Raw genomic sequence first — 10473 nt, 5'->3', positions numbered from 1 at the left:
AAAGTCTTTTTAAACAACTTTTTAGTGATTCATTTTTTGAGAGCTATACATTTCCCTCTTAGTTTCTCTTGAAAAAATACAAATTTTGAGGAGAGAAAATGACACAAAATCATTAACTACATGAAAGATAAGTTTATACAGTGGAAAGAACACTGGACCAGGAGTCTAGAGTTCTGGACTATCTGTAGTCTCAACTCTTAAGGCAGAAACTCAGTCATAATGACAAGGCTGTGAGGGTGAGTGGAAAATATGGGAATTACTGTACCTCTGTAGGTCCATAAGTGACATGAATTACCCAGAGAAGCAAGGTATATGACTACGGGATGGAGTCTGAAATACTCTTGAAGGCCTTGGGGTAGCAGAAAAAGGGTATGCAAAAATAGGATGAGAAGAAAGAATTACTATTGAGGGAGGGTTAAAGGGCACAAATGATTTCACTAGAGAATTATCTTTGGAGAAAAATAATAGTTTTTGTTGCTCTCAGCCAGTCATAGAGGACATTATGCTTTGAAAAGGCAGTCCTGATGCTGAGAATTTTTTATATTTCATGTTCCTTCATTTTCAAGTGAAGCCTGGCCAAATGGGAGAGACAGCTTCCAATCCCATTCTTAATTGATAGCCTTGTTGTAGATTGTGTTCTGAGGTTCCTAATTGTCTCAGAGAGGATTTGTTCAAATTATTCAAATTTCCATGCCCAAAATCATTTCCAGATGCTGAAAGCTTACAGCCAGCCCTTTTCTTGTGCAATTTTGAGAGAGAGAGAGAGAGAGAGAGAGAGAGTTGAATATTATCATTAGTAATACCATATAATAGGACTACTAAGAATCTTGGCACCAACCTTTCATTCATTTTCAGTGTCATGGGAGAGAGATTTATTTGAACTCCTGCAGAGCTGCCTAAGCCCTGCATCTTTCAGAAAGAGGCAGAAATGAATGCTTTAATGCTCTCCTCTATAGTGGGTCTATGGAGATAGCATAGGTAAGTCCTTAGCAGAGCCTATTAGCCTTGGCACCAAAACCTGTGTTATAAGACTATTCATATAATATTTATTAGTTCCAACAGCAATGGGTAGCTTATATGTGTCAAAATATAATGAATGGAACCCTGTGTTTCCCCTACCCTCAAAAAAAATGAAGAGGGAGTAAATGTAAGCTCTTTCTGGGACGCAAAAGCTGAAAGAAGAAAAATAAGAGGATTGCTTGTGTTGCCTGGCATTCAAAGCCCTGTATTTCAATGCCAGCCTCCTTTTATAGCTTTCTCTCCTTATTGCTCTCCTACATGAATTCTCTACATCAGCAAGGTTGGTCTACTTATTGTCACTCAAACATGAATTTTCTATTCCCACCTTACTAGCTTTCCAAATGCCATTATACTTACCCAATACATATTTCTCTTTCCCCTCCATTTATTTAAAATACTAAGTCTTCCAAGGACTGGCTTATATTCTATCTTCTAAGTAAAGTCCTCCCTGTTTCCTGAAGTTAACAATTCTCTCTTTGTCTCTCTCTCTGTCTCTCCACCTGCCACATCTGAATCTGGAATCTTTCATTTAGTTAGGCCTTAACCTGTTCTGAGTATTGTGGTACCAAGCTTGACCCTAGTGACAAAATGATAAGCAAATCAGACAAATCTTTCCCTGACCATATGGGAACTCTTAATCTAGTAGGGTGAAAAGATGTCAATCAGTTGTCAAATTATAGCTACTACTTATAATGCTTACTATGTTCCAAGGGCTTCATTTGATATAACTTTGGTTAATCCTTAACAACAACTTTATTGGAGCTTGTATTGTACTTCATGAGATAGCCTCTGTGTTTTTCCAGTTTTACATAAGGGAAAATAAAGGTTGAGGGGTTAAGTAACTTGCCCAAGACCATCCAAATGCTGAAGCAGTTTCTGAACTCAGTTGGTCATAACCGGTAGGCACCATTTCCCTAGGTACTTACACTTCCATTTGCTTTAACCTTTACTGACTGCCTTGTGTTATAATTAACTCATATGCATACATATCTTGTCTCCTCAACTACCTTACAGTGCAAGGTCCGTAAGGAAACTTGACCATGTCTTAGAAAGCAGTTAGGAATGCAGGCTTTGGAAACAGACAAATCTGTATTTAAATCCCTGGTACCCTGGCTGTGTGACTGGGTAAAAATTAACCTCTCTGATCTTCTGTTTCCTTATTTGTAAAACAGACAAAATAATAACCATGAGGAGGCAATTAAGGGTTAATTGCCTGGCACACGGTACATGAAAGCTAATGTTCTTTGAGCCTCTACCCTTCACCTCCTAGCACAATGGTTGACACACGGCACTGCAATTATCTTTCTTGAATGACTAAATGTAGTGAAAACCTAAACATTCAAAATAATCCTCCAAAAGATCCCTTTGACAGTTAATTTTTATTACAACATATTTTTCTAAGGCATGCAGTTCTATTATTTTAAGGTACATAATATGGCATAAACTAATCAGAAAGTACAGAAAATTTAATATATAAGGATTTGATTAATTTGAACTTGGTTAATTTCAGGTGAAATTTGAGAACTTACCTTGATGTAAATGTAATAAATAATAACCATTTGTTCTTAGCACATACATACTTTTGACTACATAGCATGTAAAAATTTTCATATATTAAATATTCTAATTTGATTTTTATTAATACAAAATTACTTAATAAGCACCTAGTGTGTGCAATATGTTCAAGAAATTTACAATTAAACTTTTTGGTAGTTTCAAAGTTTCCCAGATTATTAAATTCTTGTTTAAATGATCATATAAGGGTCAGCCTAGTCTTCGTCTGAATTATCACAAATTCTTAAACAATTACGTTCAAATAAATAAAATGTTGTTTCTGAAATACTCCACATTTTCTTTAAGGGACTTAAAAAGAATGTAAAAATTTGGCTGGGAGCAGTGGCTCACCATTGTAATCCTAGCACTTTGGGAGGCCGAGGCAGGCAGATCCCCCGAGGTCAGGAGTTCAAGACCAGCCAGGCCAACATGGTGAAACCTCATCTCTACTAAAAATACAGAAATTAGCCAGGCGTGTTGGTGCATGCCTGTAGTCCCAGCTACTCAGGCGGCTGAGGCAGGAGAATCGCTTGAACCCAGGAGACAGAGGTTGCAGTGAGCTGAGATCGTACCACTGCACCCCAGACTGGGTGACAGAGCAAGACTGTGTCTAAAAAAAAAAGAAAAAAAAAGTTGTAAAAATTTAATCTACCTTAATGAATTTCTAAATGTTTGGAAACTTTCCAGATATGTTTCTGAAATTGATTTCAGTTTAATTCCTCTAGGTTCAACAACATACTTTATTTCTATTCTTTTAAAGTTGTTAACGTTATTTTATGGCCTACAATATGTCCCATTGTTGTGAATATTCCATGAGAAAATAACATTGAGAAAAATATGCATGCTGCTGTTGTAGGATAAAATGCTCTGTAAATATCCATAAGATGAAGGTGATTGATAGTGTTATTCAAATCTTCTATATCCTTATTAATTTTTCTCTCCACTTAGTTTGTTGATTGCTGAGAGAAGGAGAAGTACTGAAATCTGCTCTAATTATGGAGTTGTTTGTTTCTCCACTCTGTGCTGTCAATTTTTGCCTCATGTATTTGGAAACCCATTATTAGGTACATATACACTTAATATTATTATGCCTTATTGGCAAATGGATCCCTTTATTACTATGTAATGCCCTTCTTTATCCTAAGTAATATTGCTTGTTTTGAAGCTTACTCTGTGTAATATTAATATGGCAAACTCAGATTTATTTTAATTGATATATACATAGTGTGCCCTTTTTCCAGCCTTATACTTTAACCTATATATGACTTTACACTTAAAGTAGCTTTCTTATGAACAGCTGCTTTCTTGCTCTTTGTCTCATCTGTTTAACTGATATGTTTAGACCATTTACATTTAATGTTATTGATATGGTTAAATTGAAATCCATCACCTTTACAGCTAGTTTCTATTTGTCGCATCTGCTATTTATTCCCACCTCCACTTTTATCCTGTTTGCTTTTATATTAAATATTTTATTTCATTTATCTCCAGTATTTGTTAATGATTTATACTCTTTAAATTTTCTGTGGTTTCTTTGGATTTATCTTTAATCACAGTATAGCTAGTAATAATATTAACTGCCTCATGTGTAAAGTAAGGACTTTACAATGGCATACTTTCAATTCCTCTCTTTCATCTTTGTGCCATGGTTTCCATGTATTTTACTCCATACATGTTATAAACTCAAAACACATTGCTATATTTTTTGCTTTAGGCAGTCAACTATATTTAGTAGCAATTAAAAATTTTTCTTAAAAATTTTATATTTACCCTCATTTATGTTATTTCTAGATCTCTTCATTTCTTTGTGTAGATCCAAGTCTGTCTGGTATCATATCTCCTCTACTTGAACAAATTATTTTAACTTTTTTCATTTTGTAATGCAAATCTACTGAAAATGGATTCTCTCAATTTTTGTTAGTCTGACAAAGTCTTTATTTGTCCTTACATTTGGAAATATATTTTTGTTTGGTAGAGAATCCCAGTTTGACAGTGTTTTTTCTGCGCTTTAAAGATGTCACTCTGTTGTCTTCTGACTGTACAGACAAAATATCTGCTATAATTTTTACCTTTATTTTTATGTGTCTAATGTGTTCTTCCCCTCCCCCAACCTCCAATGACTGCTTTCAAAACTTTCACTTTTCTCTATTTTTTCTTAGCAGTTTGATTATGATTTGTCTAGGGGCATGTGTTTGTGTTTCCTTGTGCTTGGGGAGCCCTGAATTTTTTAGATTTGCGATATGATGGATTTTATTATTTCTGGAAATTCTCAGCTAGTATATTTTAAAATATTTCTTCCACCTTGTTTCCTTTCTCTCCTCTGAGGTGAAATATATATATAGAGAGAGAGACAGAGAAAGAGAGAGAGCCATCTGATGTCCAGATTTTGGAAGTTCTGTTCTGTTCGTTTTATCTTCTACTCTTTATTTTCTTTGTGTTTCAGTTCTGGTCATCTATTCAACTACCTTTAAGATCTTTGTTTCCTTCACTGTGCTGAAATAAGCAAAGGCCTTCCCTATCTGTTTATGCATGTTGTCCACCTTTTCCATCAGTATGTTTAACATACTAATAATATTTATTTTACATTCCCTCTTTGTTAGTTCCAACATCTGGTTCGTTCCTGAGCCTGGTTTTGCTGGTATTTTGTCCCTTGACAGTGGCTTGTTTCTTTTTCTTAATTTTTTGAGTGTCTCACAATTTTTTCTTAAAAGCTGGTCATTCTGTATGTGACAGTGGAGACTAAGATAAATAATATTTAGGCTTGGAAATGAGAACACCTTCTCTTTTGCTAAGAGAAGGATCTACAAAGTGGCTGGTTAAGTTAATCTCACTAGGAGTTGAGCTGAGTTTGAGTGATGTTGTTACTCTGGTTACTTTTAGTATATCATCAGCTTCAAATCCCTGCATATTTACCTTGTGCTCAGTCTGGGCAGTAGTTTTCTGGAAGGTTTTTATTCTCAGGGTCTCTTTAACCCTCAGTTTTAGGCCCTCCCTTTAGGCTTGTACCTCAGGGAGGTTTTTATGCTCTTGCCCATCCTTTAGCAATAGACTTCTGTTGCTTGTTACTCAATGCTTGATAGCATGGTAGGGGAGATTTTCAGGGGACTATTGTCCTAGACTACCCTCAGTGTTAGACCAACTCTGTGTTCCTTTTATCTGGGGTGGGGATATTTCAGTGATCTTGTCATTTTCTCAGAAAAAGAGAACTGCTACCTTTAACCAGGGTAGAGAGTTTTTCATTTTCCCCTTTCACACCCACAGTGTGCCTTTATCTGTACACTGGTGACAACAGGCTTTATTTCCCTTTCTCCAGTAACTTAAAGCTTTTGTTTTATAATGAAAACAAAAAAATTCCAGATAGGACCTTGTGTATTTCCTGGAGAGAGAGAGCCACTCTCCAGCTCCAGGCCTGTACCATAATGGAAGATTTCTCTTCCACCATGCCTCTGATCTTTCCTGTGATCACAGTGAAAAATCCTGCTAGTGAATTTTCAGCTTCCAGGGACTCCATATTCTCATACTAGCCCACATTCAGTCTTTAGCCATTAGTTAAAGGATTCTTCTTAAGCGCTTATAGGGAAGCATTGCTTTCCTTCTGTGCTCTGGGTGCTTGTGTCCCATTTTTCCATGGAGGTTCCTAACTTTTCTCAGATTTCAGGTGTGAGCTTACATGTCTACTGAGATCAAGAAATGTTATAATTTGGTAGCTTTTCTACTTTTTTTTGTTAGAGTGAGAGGATACTTTTAAGTTTTCTATATCCCAAGTGGAATGTAACCTCACTAAAAGTAAAATAAAATTATGCAGCCTTGAGTGAAAAATGCCAGTTTATAAGTTCTGTGGGACAAAGAGACGTCTTAGGACTGGAGTAAAAGGTGAATTCACTTGCAAAAAGTATAAAGGGAATGGTAAGAAGTAAAGCTAATATGCTCAGAAGGTGAGCCAAGTAAGAGAAAACAAGCATCAGGAGATCTAAAGGGGGAAGAGACAGGAATATATTGCAAGACGTCCTCTTGTCCCAGTGAGTCAGCAGTGACAAGTACGGTGAGAAAAGTTCAGAAATGTTTTAAAATGGCACATTCACGTGTTTAGGTTCATTGACACCTATAAAGGAAAAACAATATTTTCCAATTGTGAGGAGACTAAAAAATGAGAGATTTCACAGACTCTCAGGAGGTAAATAGTTTTTGCTGTCCTTGTACACCTCAGACTCACTATTTAGCATGTATGGGCATGAAGCAGAAAACAAAATCAAAGCAAAACAACCTACTATTTCAAAAAAGAACCAAATAGTACATCTGGCTGGTTATAGTGTGCATGAATGATAAAACTGCCTCTTACAATAATGACTTTCAGTTAATACTATTATTTATCCAATGAAATAATATACATAAACTGCTTTGTCCATGAATGGAATAAAAATAACTGTGAATTATTAGGATTATTACTGTTGCTTTATTTAGAAATTAATATAACCTGGTTTATGTTTCAGAATGAGCTCAATAATTGTCCACATCCAACCAAATACTGCTAATGTCACCATGACAGTTCTGTTAATGCTAATTCTATTTTGGTAATTTAAATAGCTTATGATGGACTAGTTGATGTCCCACCTTCTCCTTTAAGCTTTTCCTGATTCTTTTGACCTTCAATGATGGTCTAGGATTTCTCTGAATTCTTCTTGAGCCCACATTCCTCCAAGTAGCCCTAGACCATATACCATGTGACAGGATAAGTTTTGAAAGCTGTACTCTTCTCTTTTCTTATTGTTGAACTTCTTCTCCCTGCCAGATATGTAGATATCCATTGCCTTAGGGCGAGTTCATCACAGTAGAAACTTAGAGCAGAAATGTCAAATTCATTTTACTTGAGATTTAAATGTTGATTCCAGAAAAGATTTGGAGCAATATGTGAAGCAGTTATTTCACCCTGTGAGAGAGATTAGTCCAAACCTAGATCATCTAGTCTGTAATTGGGTGGAACTGTCTCAACTCTATACTGTTAAATCACCTGTGTCAAGGGGCCATGTTGTCATTCTCAATGTTAACGGTGAGGACTGCAGCCAGCAGGTCCAGTGACCATTCAGCAGGAAGCACAATCTTGGCTTCAGAACTACTTGGCCTATATATAAATCTCTCTATGCAGACAACCACCCTTTCAACAGACCAGAGTCCTTGAAACACCTGGAAAAGGAGAATGGGCTTTGGACATTTGAAGTGGTAATGGTGATATGAAAACCCATAAACTTTGAGCCTCTCCCTGACCTCCTACTTTCTGACCCATATCTGGGCAAATTGTAACTGCAGAGAATGACCTCTAGATCAATTTCCTCACTCCTTCCCAGCCAAGACAGGAGAGAAATTATAACTTTTAAGTATGACTTTCTGTTTCATGTTAATTAATCATTCCCCCTGTTCATTTTCTTGAAGTTAGTATCTCATATTTTCTTTTGACCAAATAAGTGCATCATATCAAGTGGGACACTCAAGTATCTAGTAAACAGTTGGCAGACTGACACTAGAGGCAGTGTGGTGGATGTTCTGGAAAGAGCACAAGGTTCTATTGAAGATTCAAACAGAAAATAGATGCATTTTTGTTAACTATTACGGTGTACAAACCAGAATTTAGTAGCTTAAAACAAACATCATTATTTTTGCTTATCTTTTTGTGAATTGGAAATTTGGGCTGGGATTGCGTTGGTGTTTTTCCTGGTGGTCTTACCTGTGGTCATTTACGTGCCTGCTATCATCTCGTGTCTTCACTGGGGCTGGATAGTCCATGATGGCCTCATTTTAATGACTGATGATTTTTTACCTCTCTCTGTTTCTCTCTCTCTCTCTCTTCCACACAGTCTCTTATCTGCTAAGAAACCAGCACTGGCTTTCTGTATGGTGGTCTCAGGGCAGCAAGAGGGCAAGAGTTCAAGCTGCAAAATCTGCAAGGCCTCATGTGACTGAAGCTCAGGAATCCCCTAGTCACTTCTACCACATTTTACTTGATAAAACAAGTACAAGACCAGACTAGATGCAAGAGGATGGAAAATAAACTCTACTTCTTGACAGAAAGAGTGGCAAAGTCACACTGCAAAAAGACCTGCCCATAGACATGGGAGAAATTATTGAGACCATCTTTGCAAATGAACTGTGGCATATATGTAAAAGCTTTTAACATAGTGCTTTCCCTTACTTTAGTAGACAGAATAAATGGCAGCAATGAGGATGGTGATAGTGATGATGATGGTGATGATTTTAACACGTGAATTACTATTGGTAGTTTCAGAAGTGAAGATTCTATCCTGGTCTTCAGTATCAGAATCACTTTTCATAAGATATAGGAAGGCTCATTCACTCTTTCATTGTACTACTAGTCATTGCTTCATTATTGAAAACTGACACAATCCTCTGAGGGTTTCCTGAGTAGACAGAGTCAGCAGTATGACTTAAGATCCTAAATTCTTTGCCAGAGAGGTGAAGAGGGAAAGAAGCGACAGCAAGTTATGACCTCATTCTTGCTTTCTGAAGTTGTAGTACAGTCTCAACAGCTTCAACTTCCAGTTTTATATGCATTTTTGTGCCAGGTACTGGATTGATGACTCAAGAACATTTTACTGGACTATCTCTTTAAAAATAGTGAGGATATGTCAGTGTTCTAATAAATTTTCTTCCCAAAGGCAACCTTCAGAAAATGTCTCTGGTTTTGGTATTTGAGGCTGAAGAACCTTACACATTCAGTGCTAATGATATACTTACCTGACAGCTTTTATGAAGGTGATTATCTGTAAAATGTGCCATTTTTAACAGACTAGAATACTGATTAGTGTTGATGGTGAGAAATGAAAATCTAGGAGGTGATACAAATATATGAATTGCTTTGTTGTTGTGACTATAATTAGAATTCTCAGAGTGAAAAAACCAGGGACAACAACAACAACAAACCTAGCTGTGCTGGGGTGATGAAAAGAAAAAACTGCCAAGGGCTGAATTTACTTCACAGCAAATTCACTGAATGAAACAATCTAAAGCTGCTCAAACCTGGCATGCTTGAAGCTCCAGGCAGATGGTGAAAAGTATGCATTTGGGGTCTGCCCTTTATTTGTCAGTGTGATACCTCAGGCACCAAATGGGACCCATTGATTTTTGTGTGTCAGAAGAAATGGTTATTAATTTTAAAAAATGTTGCTTTCAGGAAAGACATTTTCTTGGCACAGATATTTACAGGGAAAGTAATGTCTGAGTGATCATTTGTGTAAAGGAGAAGGATGGGCCAGTCTTGCTTAAAATTGGTTGGATTTTTGGTCTGTGGTGATGGCAGTGTATCTACCACAATATGAGTTTGCAAAAATGGAACATTATTCGACGGGGAGAGGATTTGTTTGTCATCTGAATCCCCTCAGGAAGCAGTTTTTTCTTTCTCTGTATCTGTAGAGGTAAGACAAGTCTTGATATTCCAAATTGGAAGTTGTTTGCTTTTAAGTATTCATGCTCTATTATAAATAGACTTTATTCAACTTCTCTATTTTGGTCATCTTAGTCTGATTATGGAATTAACTTTGAGGTAACTGTATCTAATTGACCTCTAATTGATGGACCTGTTACCTGCACATCAGACTGAACTGTTTTAAAGCCACTTGATTAACTGAAGCCAGTTTTATGTGGCCTATGTCTACACGGCAAATTATCAGTAGAGAGTTTAAAAAAAAACAAACCTGAATTACCACTCCTCCATGAAATACCTTGATGAAATACCTGGTCACCTACCCTCTTATTAGTATCACCAAGAACAATAATTTTAATAAGTCTATTTCAATTAAATTGACTGGTTTATGTGTTATTTTAAAATCAGAAGTCATTGATTCCCAATGACCTCATTTCTTTAAACATAAGAGGATCACATTTAACATT

General features: G+C 36.4%; 1 annotated feature.

Moving 5' to 3' along the window:
* Nucleotides 7772–8971: an enhancer, noted in NCBI's record as "BRD4-independent group 4 enhancer chr18:51309208-51310407 (GRCh37/hg19 assembly coordinates)". NCBI's record gives its function as "activates an origin of replication core promoter dependent on BRD2, P300/CBP, MED14 and CDK7 cofactors, and independent of BRD4, by STARR-seq in HCT116 cells {active_cell/tissue: HCT116}" and the evidence as "EXISTENCE:reporter gene assay evidence [ECO:0000049][PMID:35650434]".

Source organism: Homo sapiens, chromosome 18 (genome assembly GCF_000001405.40).
Source record: "Homo sapiens chromosome 18, GRCh38.p14 Primary Assembly".
NCBI classification, from domain to species: Eukaryota; Metazoa; Chordata; class Mammalia; order Primates; family Hominidae; genus Homo; species Homo sapiens.
This window is presented reverse-complemented; position numbering and strand designations above follow the sequence as displayed.